Source organism: Homo sapiens, chromosome 7, assembly GCF_000001405.40.
Source record: "Homo sapiens chromosome 7, GRCh38.p14 Primary Assembly".
Classification (NCBI taxonomy): domain Eukaryota; kingdom Metazoa; phylum Chordata; class Mammalia; order Primates; family Hominidae; genus Homo; species Homo sapiens.
In genome coordinates, this window is record NC_000007.14 from 122071205 (window position 1) to 122092729 (window position 21525).

The 21525-nt window shown below is 37.4% G+C and overlaps 1 protein-coding gene and 1 pseudogene across 5 annotated transcripts in view; one reads left to right on the forward strand and one right to left on the reverse strand.

Moving 5' to 3' along the window:
* The window catches only part of AASS (aminoadipate-semialdehyde synthase), a 70701-nt gene continuing 51520 nt past the window's right edge, over nucleotides 2345-21525 (reverse strand). The window contains exons 18-24 of one of the 5 annotated variants that reach the window (NM_005763.4): nucleotides 20499-20639; nucleotides 14808-14975; nucleotides 10296-10391; nucleotides 8393-8508; nucleotides 7658-7746; nucleotides 6634-6810; nucleotides 2345-5403 (exon numbers count right to left, since the gene is read on the reverse strand). In NM_005763.4, the coding sequence (NP_005754.2) occupies nucleotides 5285-5403; nucleotides 6634-6810; nucleotides 7658-7746; nucleotides 8393-8508; nucleotides 10296-10391; nucleotides 14808-14975; nucleotides 20499-20639 (906 nt within the window). In that variant the 3' untranslated portion in view covers nucleotides 2345-5284. Of the gene's footprint in view, nucleotides 5404-6633; nucleotides 6811-7657; nucleotides 7747-8392; nucleotides 8509-10295; nucleotides 10392-11583; nucleotides 11688-14807; nucleotides 14976-20498; nucleotides 20640-21525 lie in introns of those variants that run through there. The other 4 variants (XM_011515725.3, XM_047419710.1, XR_007059980.1 and 1 more) reach the window with 4 other exon arrangements.
* Nucleotides 10516-10577, forward strand: RNU7-154P (RNA, U7 small nuclear 154 pseudogene; annotated as a pseudogene).

The following is a 21525-nucleotide window of genomic DNA, read 5'->3' on the forward strand; positions in this document are numbered from 1 at the left end:
TTTACTACACTGACAACTTAAACCGGGAGGATGTAACCTCTTGATCTAAAAAGTTAGGACTGTGTTTTGTAATTCTTGCTAATTAATGAAAATTAAGAATGGGTATTAGGACTAAAACAAGATTGGAAAAAGGAAGTTATTAGATTAATTGTCAGTAACTAACAAGTATCACTCCAGAACAGCCAGCTTTTCTCACTGGATTCCTTCCACTGGAGTTCAGATCTGGTAGATGTAGTTCCACTGCAAACAATCAGCAAATGTAAGCCACTAACACTATACAAAACATAAAGATAAGATTACCTTGCACAGATGTGTAAATTACGCATTGCATCTAAAGGAGAACTAATCATATCATAGACGTTAAAGATTTCTGTATTCACAATAGCAATTTTCCATTAGAGGGTAGCAAAGTGTTTTACTCTAATACATTGTATATTTAGGAACAATTTTTTGACCAGTAGAAGTGTCTTGAGAAGGAATGCCTTGTTCTAATTTTCAAAAAGACACCATATGGACTAGTGGTGGGCCCTAAGTCATCCATCCTAGAAGATGTTTTAAAAATCAGGGTGCTCCCAAATTGTTTCAAGTATTTTGAGTGTCTCCAAATGATGATCAAATTTCAACATTAAGTCTTATCACCTGAGGCAAGTCATTTAACTTTATGAGGCACATTTTCTCTTCTCTGAAGTCAGAGGCTTGGCCAAATGATTGTTGTGGTCTTTTTCATCTCTTCAACCACTTTATGTAGCAGATAAATCTATGGCTTGTTTAAGCGGCATGGATCTTTGAGGAGTCTTCCAAAGGTATCCAAGAAATTGAAAAAATATATCAAAGTTAAGATCGTATTAACTAAACATAAACTTCAGGCAAAAACTGTATTGTAAAAGAGAGAAGAACAACCCACTTGTGTTTTTTAACATCTACTAAGTGGCAAGCATTTCTCTCTCATTATCTCATTAATTTTTATAATCATCCCGGGAGTTACCGTTATCCTCATTTCATAAAGAAGAGAACAGCTAGTATGTTGTAGAGCCATTCACATTGTGTAGTATGATCTAGTGTCTCTTTAACCTAGAACAAGGAAAAATGGATAATACAAATATTGGTATTATCTAAAAAAGAACAAAAGAGGCAGAAAGATCTGAAACATGTGAGCATTAAGTCTACCAGAATGGTTAGACCAAGGGCCCACAAACTGGCTCGAGGGTCACGTCTGCCTATCACTTGCTCTTGCAAATAAGGTTTTATTGAAACACAGCCATGCCCATTCATTTATGTACTGTTTATGGCTGCTTTCATAATATATAGGCAGAAATAAACAGTTGTGATATCTTTGGTCAGCAAAGCCTAAAATGTTTATATCTGACTTTCACAGAAAAATAATTGTGGACTCCTGGTGAAGCTATATGTTGATATGCCTATAACCATAACCTGCTCATTCATTCCCAAATCCTATCACCACCACATTTATTATTATTTTATACTTTAAGTTCTAGGGTACATGTGCACAACGTGTAGGATTGTTACATATGTATACATGTGCCATGTTGGTGCGCTGCACCCATTAACTCGTCATTTACATTAGGTATATCTCCTAATGCTATCCCTCTCCCCTTCCCCTACCCCACGACAGGCCCCGGTGTGTGATGTTCCTCTTCCTGGGTCCAAGTGTTCTCATTGTTCATTTCCTACCTATGAGTGAGAACATGTGCACCACCACCTTTATTATTAAAGGTACTGCAGGAAAATTTGTTATTGAGGGATAATGTAGTGTTTAATTACATATAGCTGTATTCAAGCTTACTGACATTGCCTTTTCTATTACCACGTTTAACACTAACATTAAATCAGCTCTTCAAATCAAATCCCCTTTAATTCTCATTGTCATCATAAAGCACAAACTAGTTAACTACACTGAGAGCTCAACTGGATCCCAGTTCTGACACAAAGTGCTAGTTTCTCAGTTCCCAATTAATCTGGGCGCCGTTTTAGATAGTGAAATCAATATGACACGAGTTGTATTTCCTAATCAATTGGGTCGAACTGAATGTCATGGTAAGAAAAATTCCACAACAAAATGTTTTTACTTATTAATAGATTATTGATCTCCATATATTATCTGTGACAGGTGGGACCAGGCCTTAATCAATTTTGATTGTTTTCAAATAGCAGGAGATGTTTTCTCAACTGTCATATACCTCACATGTAGTACCTGCTTCTTTCAAGGGCAGAATTAGTTTCACGTGCCAGGATATGAGCACAATTTGTGAAGGTTAAAAAGGTGCTTACTTTGTATCTCTAAAGGCAAGAGATTTTTCCCCAAGAAGCAAACAAACAAATTGCATTTGTAATTTAATTTTTTATAACAACTTGAGATAAAATCTACATACCACACAGTTCAAACATTCAAAGTATACAATTCAGTGGTTTTTAGTATATTCAGAGTTGTGCCACCATTACCACAATCAACTTTACAACGTTTACATCACCCCAAAAAAGAAACCCCATACTAATTAGCAGTCACCCCTTTGTCCTCCCCAACCCTTCAGCCTAAGCAACCACTAATCTGCCTTCTCTCTATATATATTCGCCTGTTCTGGACATTTCATATAAATGAAATCATATAATATGTGGCCTTTCATGTCTGGCATTCTTCACTTGATATGTTTTCAAGGTTTTTCCATGTTGTGGTGCATATCAGTACTTCATCTCTTTTTTTATTGCTGAATAATATTCCTTGTATGGATATGCCACGTTTTGTTTATTCACTTGTTAGTTGATAGAAATTAGGGCTGTTTCAATTTTGGGCTATTATAAATAATGCTGCAAAGAACATCTGTGCACAAGTTTTTGTGTAGACATTTGTTTTTATATCACGTGGGTATCCACCAACAGTGCATGAGGGTTCCAATTTCTCTGCATCCTCACCAACACTTGATATTATCACTTTGATTATATATCTATTCCAGTGAGTGTTAAGTGATATCTCATTGTAGATCTCATTTGCATTTCCCTGATGGCTAGTGATGTTGAGAACCTTTTCATGTGCTTATTGGCCTTTTGTGTATCTTCTTTGGAGAACTGTTAATTCAGATCTCTTGTTGATTTTTAAAAATTGAATTATATGCCTTTTAATTATTATTGTAACAGTTCTTTACATATTCTAAATACAAATTCCTCCCTTAACTAATACATGATTTTAAAAAAAATTATCTCATTCTGTGGGTTGTATTTTTGCTTTCTTGATATTGTCCTTGGAAACACAAATGGTTTTAATTTTAATTTACCTATTTTCTTCTTTTGTTGCTTGTGTTTTTAGTGTCATTTATTTAAGAAATCATTGCCTAATTCAAAGTCAGAAAGATTTACGCCATGTTTTCTTTGAAGATACTTACAATATTAGCTCTTACATTTAGATCTTAGGTCAACTTTGAGTTAATTTTTATATGCAATATGAGGTAGGAGTCCAATTTCATTATTTTGCATGTGGATATCCATGTTTCCAAGCATCATTTAATGAAAAAGACTATTTTGCCCCCATTGAATTGTCTTAGCACTATTTTCAAAAGTCAGTTGATGATAAATGTGATCAATATTTCTGGACCCTCAATTATATTGGTATTTTACTCTTTCTGATGCTGTCAATTTTTTTCTTTTCTTTTTTGTTTTTTTTGAGTCAAGGTCTAACTCTGTCATCCAGGCTGGATTGCAGTGACCCAGTTATAGCTCATTGCAGCTTCGAACTTTGGGGCTCAAGCCATCCTTACACCTCAGCCTCTGAGTAGCTGAGACGACAGATGAGTGTCATCACATCCAGCTGTTTTTTGTTTGCTTGTTGTTTTTTGTTTGTTTGTTTTTGTAGAGATGGGATCTCACTGTTTCCCAGGCTGGTCTCCTGGCCTCTAGCAGTCTTTCTGCCTCAGACTCCCAAAGTGTTGGGATTACAGGCACAAGCCACCAAGCTTGACCATTGTTGAAAATTAAATTGTTTTCTTAACATCATTTTTGATTTATTCATTGATACTATATTGAAAGATAACCAATTTCTGCATATTTAATCCTGTATCCTGTAACTTTGCTGAATTTATTTATTAATAAATCATGCCTTTGGATTTTCTATAGTTTTCCCTTGGATTACTATGCACAAAACCACCATATCGTCTCCCATCTCTATTTAGTTATACTTCTTCCTTTCCAACCTAGATGACTTTTATTTTATTTTCTTGCCTAATTGCCCTTTCTTGACTGTCCAGTACAAGTTGAATAGAAATGGCCAAAGCAGACATCCTTGTCTTGTTTCTGATCTCAGGGGGAAATAATCCAGTCCTTCACCATTAAGTATGATGCTAACCATGGGTTCTTCATAGATGCCCTTTATCAGGTTGAGGAAGTTTCCTTCTATTCCTAGTTTGTTGAGGGTTTTTTATTTTTTATTTTTTATTGTGAAAGGGTGTTGAATTTTGTTAAATACTTTTCCTGTGCCTAATGAAGTGATCTTGTAAATTGTAATTTAATCTTATCTATTCTCATGTCCAAACACTCAAGAGAAAACTATAAGGAACTATATTTACAAAATAAATCATAACTTTACAAAAAGGGCATAAAATAGCATTTTGGCAAAAACTTAACTTAGGTAATCTGAAGGTATCTAACTGTATCAATTTTAAAAATATAAAAATATAGCTTTATGACGAAATTTTTTCTGACTAAAAAAGTAAAACTTCATTTGCTGGTTATAAGACAATATGTTCATTTAAGAAAAAAGTGGACATCCTGGCTAACATGGTGAAACCCCGTCTCTACTGAAAAATACAAAAAATTTAGCCGGGCGTGGTGGCGGGTGCCTGTAGTCCCAGCTACTTGGGAGGCTGAGGCAGGAGAATGGCGTGAACCCAGGAGGCGGAGCTTGCAGTGAGCCGAGATCGCGCCACTGCACTCCAGCCTGGGTGACAGAGCGAGACTCCATCTCAAAAAACAACAACAACAAAAAAAAAACAAAAGAAAAAAAGTGGCACAATAAATTAACAAATAGCATGATCATCACTTTCACATACGTATTTATAAAATACAGGGTAGAATTATTAAAGTTCTCTGTTAGTGGCTTGCATCTCCTGTTCCAAACATTTCCATATTAAAATAAAGATTTATAGTTCAAAAAGTACATTGTGTTAACCAAAACATATTATGCTTTATACTTTAAAACAGCACATTAGCAAACCCATTTATCACACACATGTTCAGAGGTGTATTGCCTGGGAAGAAAAAAACAAAATATAATTCCCAATTATGGTTTAATTGTACTCTGTGTAGTATATATAATGCCTTCTGCTTTAATTCGCTCCAATATTGGTCCATAGATCTCCTTTGAAAAGGGCCCCATTAGGCCTTTGGCTCCAATTTCACCTGGAAGAAAATAAATGTGTAATTACCATTTCAAAGGTTGTGTCAGAGGTTAATTTCCCCATCAAGAGTCTCCACAAAGAAGCAAACTCAGAGTCAATGAATTCTTGGAGGCCTAGGCATTTTTTAAGTAGCTGCTTAAAAACGTCCCTTAGTAAATTATTACTTATTCAACACTTTGTAAGGAAAAGGAGTTGATTTTAGATTGAAAGCACAGCCGGACCTAGGGATATTGTCAGAACTTGTACACTTAACTGCATTAATTTCTGCCAGGACAATCAGAGAACAAAGTAAAGTAAGAAGTAAAGTAAATCTGACTGGTCAGCTTAACTTGCTAATGTCATTTTTTTTTAAAAAAGGCAAGACACCAACAGAATGAGTTGTAACAGGTTTGATTATATGGGCACAGGCACCTGTTAGTATGACTGAAACACAGAACCTGGGCACTCTCACTAGAGGCCACAATGACCCCAACTTTTATCACTTACTTCTTCATTGATTCCTCAATAACTAAGTTGGTCATTTAATTTGACATTAGCTGATATGCTACTATACATTTTTTTTTCATTATTTCACATTTATATGCTTTGATATTTTCTACTCCCCTCATTCTTTCTTGAGGGTCAAACAGAGGCAATGCTTATTGAATGTCTATGTGATCTTCTAGGGAGAGTGGAGGAATGAAATTTTTATTCATTTAGTCTAAAATATTTATTGAGTACTAATAATATGCTGAGATATGAAGACTAATAAAACTTAACCTATATTCTTGAGAATCTGGAGTGAATATCTTTTTCTATTTTAGAGTTATCACTCCCAACATGGCAAAAACCAAAGAAAGAAAGGAAGGAAGTTACCATTCCCTGGGGACCCCTCTATGAGGTAGCAGCTTCATGTATTATATCAGTTAGTGTCACAACAACTCTGAAACAGGGATGGCAATACCCACTTTAAATATGAGGAAACTCTTGCTCAAAGGTGCTGAGTAACTTGCAGCCCATCACTCAGCCACCTTGGAACTGAGCGGAAGCGGAAGTCAGGTCTATCTCCAAAGCCCACATGCTTTACTCATCAAAAGGGGACCTCCCAGGCAGTCCGCGCTTGGATCTTCTAAGATGGTTCACTTTTAGTAAATGCCTGTGTTACGCTCAAGAGCAATTACTTGATGTCCAGGCACCAAATGGCTTGGAGGTGAAACAGAAACAGGCTTACACCTCAAATGAACAGACTTACCATCAAGCAACATTTTGGCTGCCATGGCGGTGGGTAACCCCACGGTTTTAGCCATGGCTGAAAAGCCATTGATGTCCCCATAAGCCACAAGATCAATCGTTTTATGTTCTAAATGTCCAGAAGGATGTCTGATTCCAAAGCTGTCTCTCATCACAATCATATCTTTTTCTTCAGGACCTTAAAACAAATAAAGATAAGTAAAAATACCACTATCATTACAACTCAAATATTGTCTGTCATCTCCTCCTGCCCTTCTGGTCTTAAAAGTTTTCCCTCCTTTTATATATGATCACTAGACAATTATTTACACAGCTTTTTAGCCCAAAGTCAAAGTGAAAACCTCAAGGAAATTAGAACTCTGATCTCATTCCTTTATCCGGATTCATGTCACCATATCCTGTTTACAGACACAAAAGCGCTGCTATAGAGGCCTTTTAGTGTGCTCCAAAAATGCTTCTTTGGCATTTGCCTAATGCATTAAAAAAAAAAAGTAATGTCGGGCGCGGTGGCTCATGCCTGTAATCCCAGCACTTTGGGAGGCTAAGGTGGGCGGATCACGAGGTCAGGAGATGAAGACCATCCTGGCCAACATGGTGAAACCTTGTCTCTACTAAAAATACAAAAATTAGCTGGGCATGGTGGCAGGCAACTGTAGTCCCAGCTACTCGGGAGGCTGAGGCAGGAGAATCTCTTGAACCTGGGAGGCAGAGGTACAGTGAGCCGAGATGGAGCCACTGCACTCCAGCCTGGTGATAGCGTGAGACACCGTCTCAAAAAATAACTAACTAACTAACTAAATAAATAAATAGTAAAACTATTTTTTCCTTTCCCATAATAACTAAGTTTATTTTTACCTAATAATTCTCAAATTCCTCCCTCTGGAAAAATAGTCCAATTGCCCTTTTCTTCATATCACATCTTCCCATTCCTGCTGCTTGGGGCCAACCCTCCAATACGATTATCTGCACTGACTCTATCTTATGATTCTTCTTTAGGTATATTTAGCTAATACTTCATGGCCTACCATAGGAAAGCTTCATGACCAAATGCTTGGAGAGGGCATCCAGAATGGACTCTGCCTGAGGAACTTGTTCATCCCCAAGTAAGCCCAACCTGAAAAGCACAGGAGATGGCTGCATTAGTTCAAGTCCTATACATGTTCTCATTTGGGAAGCAAAAGGGAGCTCCTTGAATTTAATCTTGAAAGGGCAGAATTACAAGGTGGTAACTCAAGTTGTAGGATTCTCCTAAAATGTAAAATAACAATAACAATAGCAATGTTTTAACCTTCAGAATCTTCTCCAGACTCACCCAGGCACTGCTCCCTGGAGCAGGGCAGAGATGATGGATTGTAATCCCATGTTCTTACAAAGATCTTTATGAGATTAATTTATAGGTTAGTTCTCCAACATTAGGTATACCAGCAGGATGCCACAGCGGTCATATGAAAGAATGTTTTCATGTAATATTCTATGACTACTCCAAATCTCCTACAGGAAAGCAAAAATACCCCACTATGCTTGGGAACTGAGTGGTAAAGTGTTTCGAGATAAGCATTTCTCAAATTCTAATTGCCATTGAGCTCCTCTCTTTATCTACTCTTTATGCCCACATGAACATGGCACATGGTAATCTCTCTACCCACATTAGAGCAACGAATTAATCAAAGACAAATGTAAAATATTTAACTTTTTCTGAGTAGAAATTAGCAATCATTGATCCAGTATATTTTGCTCTAAGTTGAGTGGTGGGTGCCTACCATTCAGCAGCCTCCAACTGGGTATTGTCTCCTCCTAGTTTCTTAAGAACAGCTTCCTTCAACACATCATGCTCAGAGGAGGGTGAAATCCCAACTAGGTCACAGAGGAGTTGTTTCTGGTTAGAAAAAGAAATACAATATTTCTAAGTCCCTAACAAATTTTTTTTTAATTGACTGAAAAATTATCCTACTAAAACACTGAACTTCAAATACACCTCAAATTTTAAAATTAAAAATAATTGGAAATAGGAAATTGTAACACATACACACACATACACACATCTGCATACCTACACATCAATAAATAGCTGCTATTCCAAACGATATTTCACCAATAAAAATGGGTTTTAAGATCAACTCAACACAAAACAGATGGTGCAGTTCTTACCAGCACATTCCCTGTCTTTGTATATCCTCTCTATCACTATGTTTTTATCCATTCTCCCCCTACCCTCCAGCAGTCCATTTTGACCAGGATAAAGTGGAAAAGGCTTACTGCAGTGGTTGCCAGTAGCAACCCAGGTTCTTTTGTAGGTTCAAGAGATGAGAAAGTCCTTGCAGGTAATAAAATCTCAAAGGAAGAATACTTAAACAGTAGCCATAGTTTTTTCTACTTTCAAAACAAGACTTTTTCTAGGTTCCCAAAGGAAAAGCTATGCTCTAGATCAGGAGTCAACAAACTGGTTCACAGACCAAATTTGGCTCATTGTCTGTTTTATTAAATAAAAGTTTTATTGAAACACAGTCATGCTCATTGGTTTATGTATCGTCTATGGGAGAACTGAGTGGTACTGACAGAGACCGTGTGGCCCATAAAGTCTAAAACCTTTATAATCTGGTCCTTTACAAAAAAGACCATCCCTAAGAATGTCTGCACCAACCTTCCCAAACCAGCTGCCTCAACCCCAGGTTCTCTCTGCAGATACTTGTTCACTCCTACCCAACAAGTAAGTTTATGAAAGGTAAAACTTAAGATTGGAAAGGTTCACAAATGCACACAAAAAAAATGAATGTAAAAGCAACTGGCTAACACAAAGAAATGATGAATGCTTGAGGTGGTAGATACCCCATTTACCCAGATGGGGTTATTATACATTGCATGCCTATTTCAAAATATATCATGTCCTCCATAAATATATACACCTACTATGTACCCATAAAGAATTCAAAAATAATTTTTTAAAGAAACTAGCTAGCAAGAATACCAAAACTTTTTTTTGAGATGTAATGGAATTAGCAACATTGGTCCTTTTCTCCTTGTGATACATTTCTGGCATTTCTACTGGAATACAGGCACACTAGTTTAAGTTGAACAACCAGCTGGTAATGAGTTAATTCTGAGCAGTCAGTAGAAGCTCTACTTCGCATTCAGTTCCAAGCCTCCAAAGTTCATTCCAACTCTGAGGCCTTAAGGTTTTGGTACAACAAGAGATAGACGCATAAGCTCGGTAACTGAAAATCAAATCACTCATGGTTATAAGTAACCAAATGAGAGTACTGACAAGATTTGGAGGTTGGAAATCCAGTTCTGTAATACACTAGTAACTCTCCTGGATTCTCACTTTCAGGAAGTCCAAGTGACTCCCATCACTGGGTCACCACCTAGACAACTGGAATAGCTCAGAGCTTAATGCAGAGAGCAAAGGCATCTCTTATCACAGCTCAAGGAGCAGTCAAATGGTATAAGTTGCTGCGGGAAACAGGCCTGATATGTGTCAGCCCCACACCCTCTCCATTCTTCCACAACAGTGAAGGGAAAGGGGGCTTTGGAGTTAGGATTTATCTTCCTGCTCATAAGCTAAAAAATAGGATCTTTTGCAGATCCAAAGCAGAGTTCACCCCCGACCATTTCAGAAGGTATTTCTGAAAAGGAGCAGATAGAACGTAATTCGGAGTCACTCACCCAGGTGAGAGGGTTGGCCTCAGGTCTAAAGGCAGGAAGCGCTTCTCTGTTTATAAGACCTAATTTTACAAATCCATTCAAAGCTTTCATATATCCCTGAAACAAGAATTAATAAGCAGTATATAAAATTTTTCTCTTCCAATGAAAAAACTTAAAATATTTTTGAAAAGAGGGATATATCTTTGTAACTAATTTAGAAAACTGTTTATATTGATGATATGAGTACTACAGCTCTTCTAGAATTTGCCTAGCAGGTTTTCCTGTCTTTACTAGAAACCCCTCCCCACAACCCACCAAAAAAGTATTGAGGATATAGATACAACCAATTTCAAGCTCAAACTGAGATCAATAGTGTCATAACAATTCTACTGGTTTACATAAAAGACCTTGCAAAACTTAGGTCTTTACTTCTGTTTCTGGGTAACATGTGAATGGAATTTTCGGGCAGCATAAGGGCAAATTTTCTTATGTGTTATATGCTGTCAGCTCAGCAGAGTATTATTTAACAGAACAGTCAGTTGAGCTCTTTCTTATAATGGAAGGAGGAACTTGTAAGAATATCCTCCTCAAAAGCAGATAATCCAATCTACTAATTAGAGCCACCACCCCCAAGATATATGGAGAGCAGAAAAAGAGGTAGGAATCAGAGATTTTTCTAAGATATGATGATATCATCACTCTGATAAAAATTCCTCATATGTCCTTCATTGTCTACAAAGCAAACCTGAGGTCCTTGGTATATTATATAAAACCCATCACAACATGCTCATCTAGCCTAACTCACAGATCTCCACTTTCACTATTCCCCAAATGTGCTGTGTTCTTCCAGAAACCAGGGCCTCTGTACATGCTGCTCCTGTAACTGGAATGTTGTGGCCACACTTCTTCATTTATGAAATGTTTTCTCCTCCCTTCAGACCCAGTTTAGCACCTCTTGTGAGTCCCCTAGCACTCACAAGTGGGCACTCCCTTCTTGTAGCATTTTGTATATACCTTTATCATGGCAATTAATGCAGCTCATAATTAATTGTCTATTCAGCTGCTGTACTGAAGGTATTGAAAGCAGGGAAATTGTATCTTTATATTATGTTATATTATATTTTATTTGTGTGCATATTCTTCATCCCAATGCCCACTTCGGGGCAGATAAGTCAAACAAATAATGCCTAGTCCATGGTGAACAAAAATGCGTCACCACTGACGACTAAACTGTAGTAGAGTATTATATTAATAGGTGCTAGGTTAGAGGAAAACATAGCTGTGGGAGCACAAAAGAAGGGGAACTCACATAGATGGGGCTGGGTGGTTCAAGGGGAAGGAGTTAGGGAGGATACCATAGGAAGGTATTCAACATTATTCAACATTCCAATCCATTATTCAGCATTCCAATCCCTAAAAGAGAACAAATGGCTGGATAAATAGATTCTGAATAATAGATGAAGTGAAGAAAGACCATAATGGTTTATTCCCCAGTGTGCAAATGGGAAGCAGGGTGAGAAGGCTAAGATAAGAAATTTATCTTATCTGCAATTACTGCTCAAGCAGAGAGAGAGAGAAGAAAAGAGAGAGAGGGAAATAATTCTAGGGAGCAACAGAGGTTTTAAAATATAAAATAGTTCCTGTAACGTCAGATATTTCACTACTGAATGTCTGGCCAACTAGCAATTTTCCCATTTCTAAAGGTTATATTGTTCAAACTGTTCAAAGGTTACTAAAAAAAGAATTCTCATTTGCTCTAATTCAAATGCAAATATACTTCAAAGAGGAGAAACAGAAAAGTAATATCACTAGCTTGTTTAGCTCGCTTCTGGGACCTGATAGGTGCTAGAGATCCCTTTATCCAACATCTAAAATACTGATTTCTGAGCTATTTATTAATCTCAGAAATATATTTTTATGCTGACCCCTAGAAATGAATTTATTTTATGTATTCATTCATCAATAAGCATTTAGCAAACTGCTGCCATATGTCAGACTTGTGCTAGGGACTGAGGCCACAGAGATGAAAAAATTGCAGTCTCATCCATGCAGAAACTGCAGTCAACAGAAGGGTCAGATAAGTCAAGCAAATAATGCCTAGTCCATGGTAAGCAAAAATGCATCACCACTGATGACTAAATTGTAGTACAGTATTATATTAATAGGTGCTAGGTTAGAGGAAAACATAGCTGTGGGAGCACAAAAGAAGGGGAACTCACATAGATGGGGCTGGGTGGTTCAAGGGGAAGGAGTTAGGGAGGATACCACAGGAAGGTGCTATTAACCTGCGTCTAGAAGGACAAGCAGGTGACAGGCAGGCAGAGAAGGAGAGTGGTCAAGGCCTCTCTGTCATATTTGAATGATGGTATCTCATCTCCAATACTGGAAAGAATTTTAGGGTTACCAATGGATTGCTGGCATTGCCCAGGATGGTGGCCCTCATGATTACGAACACTGTGATATCTTCCATCCTCAAGGAATCCATGGGGATGGCTCCCACTCGCACACCTTGTTGAGACCTTTATTCAATGTTTAAATCTATTAAAATCCTTCATTCCTGGATCTATATGTTTGTCAAAAGACTATACTGAAAGCTATATATCCTAACTGCTGGCCAAAAAAAAAAGTTTTTACTCATATTCTTTGAACAAATTGAAGAAAATAGATCAAGAAATCTGCCAGAGCTGGGGATAGTATGCATAAGTTCAGACTAGAATTTCTACTGTGCCTAAAGGCTGGTAGAAGAGCCATAGCTCCTAGATCTCGGTAGGACATTATCACTGATGTCTCATTTGATTCCTGGGCAATGAAAAAATCATATTCATGGAGTACAAGCACCTGCTCTCTAGGAGCTTACAATCTCTTTTGGGAGATAAGAAAAATATACATAAAATTATAACTTAAAATGCTGAGAAGTAAATGCTAAGTGCCCATAAATGTAACAGAAGCTCTCAAGAGTAAGAAATATAGTGGTTGTTTTCTTTTTAAGAACAGATAGGCAGGTGAACCTGGAAGACATTATGCTAAGTGGAATAAGTGAGACACAAAAAGTAAAATATTGCATGATCTCACTTACATGCAGAATTTTTTTTTACGAAAGTAAAAGATGCAGAGATAGAGAATAAAACCATGGTTACCAGGGGCAGGGCTGCAGAGAAGAAAAGAATAAAGCCCGAAGGAGGATGATACAAATACCTGGAGGAAAAGTTCCAGGCAAAAGGAACAGCCAGCAAAAAAAGATAAGAGAACGACAGAAAAGCAGGCACAAGATTGAAGGGTCATCACTGACAGGTCCATGTGCCTTACATCTTCCAGATAAAAAGATAATTAGAGAATACTAGATAACACACATGAGACAAATCCCCTCTCTGGCCTTAGCCAGGAAATCTCACAAGACAGACAGATTTGCAGTCAGGTCTCTGATCCTGAGAAATACATGTATTTTAGGTATGCTGGTTACATTAGGTTGAGTTTAGGGCCCTGTCGCCAAATTCATGGGCATCCACAGCCTCAGAATATGGCCTCACTTGAATGTTTGCAGATAGAATTAATTAAGGACCTCAATATGAAATCAACCTGGATTTAGGGTGAACCCTAAGTCCAATGACTAGTGCCCTAATAAGAAGAGGATGCAACACAGTGAGACACACAGAAGAAGGTGATATGAAACTGATGCACAAATTGGATGGATGTGTCTCAAAGTCAAGCCTCCAAAAGGCACCAACCCTACTCACACACATCTTGATTTCAGACTTCTGGCCTCCTGAATGGTGAGAGAATAAACCCCTATTGTTTCAAGCTACCCAATTTGTGATATTATGCTAGAAAACTATTACACCAGTTGTCTTGATTAGGTCACACTTGTAACTGCTTTTTTTGTGATCAATAAATGTGTAGTGGACATTTGCATTAATGCTCCTAGAATGTACTCCCCATTTTGTGGTTTAAAAACATTTTGGATTTGCTCTGGGGAAGCCCCTTTCATCCCGTCCGTTTCCTCCCGCCCCAGTCCATGTTTTTTTAATGACATTGACTCCATCTCCAGTTCTAGGACATATAACATAGGCCAAAGTAGATGGGCACATTTTATCCCACTGACCTTAGGGAGCTAATGAGACAAAAATCGTATTTTTGGCTATTAGAACGGTATCATTTTTTATTCCCACTGAATTTGATCCTGAGAGGCTGGGAGCACTGCCACCACTCTGCCATCGCACAGCACTTGAAACTCCTGTGAATACTGGAAAGAAGAGCTGAGACGTTACGAGAAGTCAGGTCCTGGGGAAGTCACTTGATCTCCAACTCTCACTAAGCCTGAAGCCCTGCCTGTCCCCAACTCCTAATGAGTCAATTAATTATCTTTTTATTTTGAGGTGAGTCTCCTAAAATATTCAATCAATCATAAGATTCCTGAAAAAATAGACTCCAACTTGGTTTATCATCTTAATTATTTTGACTACTAAGAAAAATTAAGTGTACACATCACTTACATCACAACTGGCAACATGTTGAATCTAAAGTCCAGCTGCTTACCTTATATCTCAGTGTCCCCCGCAACAAAGTGTGAGCAGAAGAAATGCCATAAATCTCAGCATATTTCGTACTGTCTCTGTTAGGATAGCCTTCCAAATTTAATCCTGGAAAAAAATCCATGGACGTAACGGCATCAAGAAAGGAGATGCCTCCTGCAACATTCACAACCTGAGGAACATTGAGAAGGCACACATGGGGTTACAGCTGTTCCTTTCTTTTAGGGCTTATCTGCATTATACGAACAAAGAAAGCAACAGAAATTTGAAAAAAAAAATAAAAATAATGAAACCACCATAATCATCATCCTATACTTAAGCTGTTCTACTAATATCATAATTCACAAAGCAATTCTTCTCTCAAGCTTTAAAATTTGACTTTAAAACATTTAGTTTTTCTAAACATAAGGTCTTATTTTCAATTTTTTTCCTTCCCCTGGATAAAATGGCACTAAATTATTTCCCACTAGAGTTTGCCTTTTTAAAAAATATAAACATTTAGAAAAAAAATTTAAAATAAACATTTTAATTTTTAAAAAATTTATTTTCTAAATATTTAAAAATAAAAAATGTTTAAAAAATAAACAAAATTATTTTATATAAAAATGTTTAAAAAATAAACTTAAATAAGCTAAAAGCAACAGATAATTATTTAAATGGCTTCTATGCTCAAACAACAATCAATATTCTCATTCTTTTCTTTTACTTTCATGAGCCTTCTAAATGCCACATTAGGCATCAGTCACATACATTTCATTCATACAGCTAAATTTATTGAGCAGTTACTATCTATGCATTGAAGATCGCACAAATTGTGAAGGGAATAACATGAGTGATGAAATAAAAATCTTTTGATATCTCAGTACTTCTCTTTCCCATACCCCTACCCCCATCACACATACTCAAAATGCAATGAAGGATTTCTTTGTCTCTAATTTTAATTAAAAGACTAAATTTTCTTCTAGTTTATTGGCTTATTATTATTGTTGAGATAAAGGAAAGCATTCTGGAGTGATAAAATTAGGTCTGAGAATTCTGGTTGTTGCTGCTGGTGGAACTAAATTTTATCCTTATTGTACCACTGGAAACAATTTCTGACCAGTTTCTCTAAAGCTGCACAAAATAACACTGTACCAGGGAGCTGCCAATGTACTTTAAGGTGGATTCACAGGATTTGCCTGAAGAGGCCTTTGGCTAAACTTAATGATTCTCATGCCTTATTAGTAGATGGGTTCTGAACGTGCCTTTGTATGAGAGAGAAAATGGAAACTCATTTATCTGTGGATGAAGCCCCAGAAAGAAAAGGGCTATGCTGACTGCAATGTTAGGACCACTGGAGTCTTTTCAGTTCAGAGACTCACTTTGGAGAGTGCCAAGCACCATTTAAAATTTCAAAAGTGAAAATCTGAATGAAGGATGTGAGGAATGCCTTCCATTTAATTTTCTTGTGAACCCTACTAGACTGCAGAGTAAACATTTCCAAAGGGGGGATGATTTCTGAACTACTTCTTTAAAACCAGTTTATTTAATAGAATTCTAAATTTTTGAAAAAATCTAAGAAAGCAAATGTTGGGCATGATGGTGCCCACCTGTAATCCCAGCTACTTCACTCGGGAGGCTGAGGCAGGAGGATGGCCTGAGCCCAGGAGTTTGAGAATAGCCTGAGCGACACAGCAAGACACCATCTCTTAAAAACAAAAAAGCAAACGTTGACTTTTAGGGTCTTCACACCCATCTCATTTCTATAACCCATGACAATTCTTAAGTTTTGTTTGCTTGTTTGAAAGTCAGGAAAATTTCTGAAAGAAAAATTCAATAATGACCACAATATTCTAGCTTACCAATCATAAATAAAGCAGCAAGTTCATAAGTCTATCATGAAATCCTTACAAAGAAGATGGAGAAATGTCAGCTGAATGGCAATGATTCATTTAGTGAGAATGGCAGGTGGCTAAGCAACCTGACCCAAAAATTACTGGGTAATCATTGTCATTTGATATTCATTCGTAGTTGTATTTCTAGTGGTATATAATGTAGTTCAACAATAAGTTCTTTCTTGTTTATTATTTTATTAATAATTTGAATGACAACAGAAACATATTTGTCTGTTTTGCAGAGAATATACATTTCTTTCTGCTCTGACAATGCTCAGGCTCATTATTCACTGCTGTTGCAAGCTTCTCTAGGTCCAACTCTTTCACACATACACACAAACACAAATACAAATCTCCCAAGTAGAGAGAATCACTGTTATATTTGAATAAATATATCATATATATTCAAATAATCACAGTAAGCTTGATCACTAAACTAATAAGGAAATATACAATCATTTTTTCAGGGCCTACTATGTGCCCAGTGCCTTGTACTGGGCATTATCTTTAATCCATGAAACAACTCATTTTTCAGAGGTGAAAACTGAGGCTGAGTCACCCAAAGGCAAATCTGAACCCAGTTCTATTTGACTGCAATGTCTGTGTTCCTTCAACTACACTGTCCCCTTAATCATGCTTATTTCTGGATCAGTATTTTGAAAGGGATATTGACAAAGTACAGCATTCTGGATTATGCCACCTGGGATGCACTGAAAGTTGCATAAAGAATTGGTACAGGCAAAGGAAGATAGTGGTAGCTCTTGATTTCCAAAGGGTTGGGTGCTGCAGTCAAGGTGGTGGCAGGCAATGGATAGAGGGCTAGAAAACTTATCTTAAAGCGATGTTTGCAGAGCAAGCACACTTCTCACTTAGACTACATGTTTTGCCAGGTTAGACTGGGAAACACTGCAGAAGATGATGGCAAAGCTCTGCCATATCACTCCCAAATGCCAACAATGTAAAAAAGTACACCACCACTGTGAGGGGAATGAAACTAAGAGAAGATGAAATCACTGTCTCCGAATATGTGGAAGAAAATCAGAATTGTTAGGAATCAAATTAGAAGTTAGAAATAGTACAAGTGGCTAGAAATTACTACAAAGATGTAAGACAATGAGACACATTCAAATTCATAGGCCACTGACCAATTTCTGGAAAAGTTTAAGTCTTCAAATTCAAGCAGAAGTCAGAGAGGTGACTTGGTTTCCCATTATGATTCTGTGAATTACTTAAGACCCGCTCCACAGTGGAGGGTGGTGATGGCAGAGGGAGTGAAGGGCAAGAATACAAGAGAGGTTTTAAGTTGTTCAACAATCTGGCTTGAGAAACAGACTGATACACTTGAATTACTGACTGAATAATGCAGCACCTAGAAAATTCTTAAGACACAGACAAACAAAGTGTCTGATTCTTTGATTCAGTTCAGGCAAAATAATAGTGAACAGAGGCTGGAGTGGTCACAAAAAGCTTCATCCACAAGAGGAAACGCAGGTGGGACCTTGAAAAAAGTATCATTTTAGCAAAGAAAAGTGTCATATTTTCTCTTGGTATCCTCCAGTGTCAGAGAGATGCAAAAAGCACTCATTTTTACAAAAGACATTTAGGATGAAAGAGGAGAACTTCGAATTCAACAAATACAACTTCTGCTACCTGAAAATAACCTCTTGTTTGTCTTAAACTCTCACAACCACTAATTTCCTTATGTAGCTAATATTTGCTAGATTTATTACATGGCTGACAATCTGCTGTTAGGCAGATTGCAATCTATGTGACCTCACTGACTAAGAACACTGGAAGGCTGGCATGATTGTCTTTATCTTCAGACAAGGAACCCAAAGCTCACAACCAGTAATGGCAGAGCTAGAGCACAAAGCCAGGCCCACAGATACCAAGTTCCTTGCTCTTTCTTTTACATGGTTGCACTCTGCTGACCCTTTCGTTGTTACCATCTTTAGCATTTATAAGGCCTCCTAAAAATAAGTGTTTTACTCAACTGAGGCAAGAATTTGTCCTGCCTTCACATGTTAATTTATACCAAACATAGGCCAGTCTCTTAAGATTGCAGAAGGTAAAAGGAGCTGTTGGAATGCAATAGGAGATAGGCTGTAGCATGTAAAAGGATGTGTGCTTGGTAAAACATCAGACTAAGATTCTGGTCCAAACCTTCATGATTCATAGAATTAAAGAATTGGATGGAACATCAGTGCTCACATTACACATCAGGAAACTGACATCCGGTAGATCTTTTCAACTGCCTGGTCTTTGGCTATGTTATGAGGGATGCCAGGAATTAGACCAGAACTCATTGATCCTGTTTATTATCCTGAAACATGTCACACATCATTCCGGCATCAAGCTAAAGTGTCCTGCTTGTTTAGTACTATTTTAAGTGCAGCTGTGATTCTCTGATCATTAAATCAGTTGTTCTCAAATTCAGCTGCATATTAGAATCACTAGGAAGATTTAAAAAATCCTCAAACCCAGGCAAATCAGAATCTTTGGGGATGAGGCGCTGGTACTTTTTAAACTCCCCTTGTAATTCCAAGCCAAGTATGAGTTATGCTCTATATCACAGGCACAAAAGACCATGGCTAATAACAGCATTCACCTTGTTGCTTAAGAAATTCTTTCTCTCTACTCCTGAAATACATTTCGATTCACAAATACCTTGACAATGTAAAATATTGATGCTAAAATAATCTTTTTAAGACACATCTATGTGATCATATTACTCATCACTCCCTGCAGGGCCAGGACTAGGGCAAGGTGAATGAGGTGCCTACAACACACAATTCAAAGAGGCACTCTGAGTCTCGTTTCATTTTTCTCCAAACTATGAGCATAAACTATGAAGTCAGACAGACATGATTTGGATACTGGCTCTGTCACTTGCCATCTCTTTAAGTGTAGCTGTTATCTTAACTCCCTAAACCTGATTTTTCCCCTTATAAAACTGTCATACCATGAGTGCTAACATCCCTGCCTAGCTGGCACCCTCATATCCTTCAAGGCCAAGCACATCCTCTTCTCCACTAGTTTTTCTTTTCCCCATCCTCCTTCCCCCAACCCCTTCACCAAGGCCAATTAAACTGTTCTCCCATCTGTAGCTCTGAGCCACTTTAACATACTTTGGAAATTTCCCTATTAAATTATAATTACTTATTCCCATGTCTGTCTTTCCAGCCATTAGGCAATCTGGCAAAAGGAGAAAAAAAGCCTTAAGAGTTAGTTAGACCTGGGTTTGAATCTCAGCCAAATGACCTTGGACATGCTCTCTGAGCCATAGCTTTCTTATTGTAAAATAATGAAAATAATATTAAACTTGGAGAGTTCTTATGCTCTGTTACATGGCAGCTGGGGAAGAAATTATAGTTTCTTTCCCCAGCACACCAAACCCTCCATTCCAAGAGCCCCATCCCCAGTCCAGCTGTGAGCTTTCTGAGGTCATGAATTTCATTCTCTGTGACAGTCTTGGGTAACTTGCCCAAAGTCCAGCACATAGTAGGTACTCAGAAAATGTTTGTCATGCTGAAATAAATCAAGAGATAACCAGTGTTTACATATATAGAGAAGTGAATTTTTGAATAGCAGAAACAACTTGCAAGAAGGCCTAGGGCAAAGAATAGGCACAGGCTTTGCTAGGAACAGCAAGGATACCGTGCTAAATAGAACAGAAAATATACACTGGGAAACAACACAGGAGGAGATAATGGAGACAGGCAGCATCACCATTATTAAAGGGTTTGGGATCAGGGAGTATTTAGACTGTCTCAGGCTGTTATTGCAGGTTGATATCACTATGCTTGGATAAGATTCCTCACCTTTCCATCGAGCAGATAGGTGGCAGACTGCATTACATTCATCAAAACTCCCACTGGACTCCAGCTAAATTTATATCTCAATGGATTGTTTGAATGTTCAGGGGCTGGAAGCCCACCACAGTAGGAAATATATGATTCAATCTATAAATTAAAGAATCAATAAATAAGGAAGAATTCACAACTTAGAGAATGTCTAAGTAATTAATTGAAGACAATGATATGAATGGAGTAAACTTGCTACAGTTTTTCATTCTTAAAGTTACTAAGGCATTCAAAAATACATCTTCAAAGCATGTACCATTTGATTAAATAACAGTTAATTTTATATATATGTTTTTTTAAAAAAACTGTAAAAATAGTGACTAACATTTTGTTCAGTTAAAAATCCAACTCTTAGTTCAATTCTGCTTAGTCAGTTCCTACTAACTTTTGTATTCAAATTATATATTTACATATATATAATTTTAATACATATATATACACACACATTCAAAAAACCTAAAACAATCTGAATCATCCCATTTACACCCAATAGTACCTCGCCAAAGGTACTATTTCATAAAAGATATTTCATATCAACAGATTGCTGATACCCAAAGATTCTTCTTACTTTTAAAAGTCAAATCTTATTACAGAATCTTCAAGGTAGTCTAAAATTTGTATTAAGCCAAAATTTTATAGTAGCATCTGTTTCTCCAAAAATTGGTTGCTACCTAAGACTTGGACATTGTTTTCCTGTATGGATATTTTTGCAGTTATAAGATATTATTTAAAATTTCTGGGAGGCTGAGGGGGGCAGATGACCTGAGGTCAGGAGTTTGAGACTGGCCTGACCAACATGGAGAAACCCCATCTCTACTAAAAATACAAAATTAGCCGGGCATGGTGGTGCGTGCCTGTAATCCCAGCTACTTGGGAGGCTGAAGCAGGAGTATTACTTGAACCTGGGAGATGGAGGTTGCAGTGAGCCGAGATTGTGCCGTTGCACTCCAGCCTGGGCAACAAGAGCAAAACTCAGTCTCAAAAA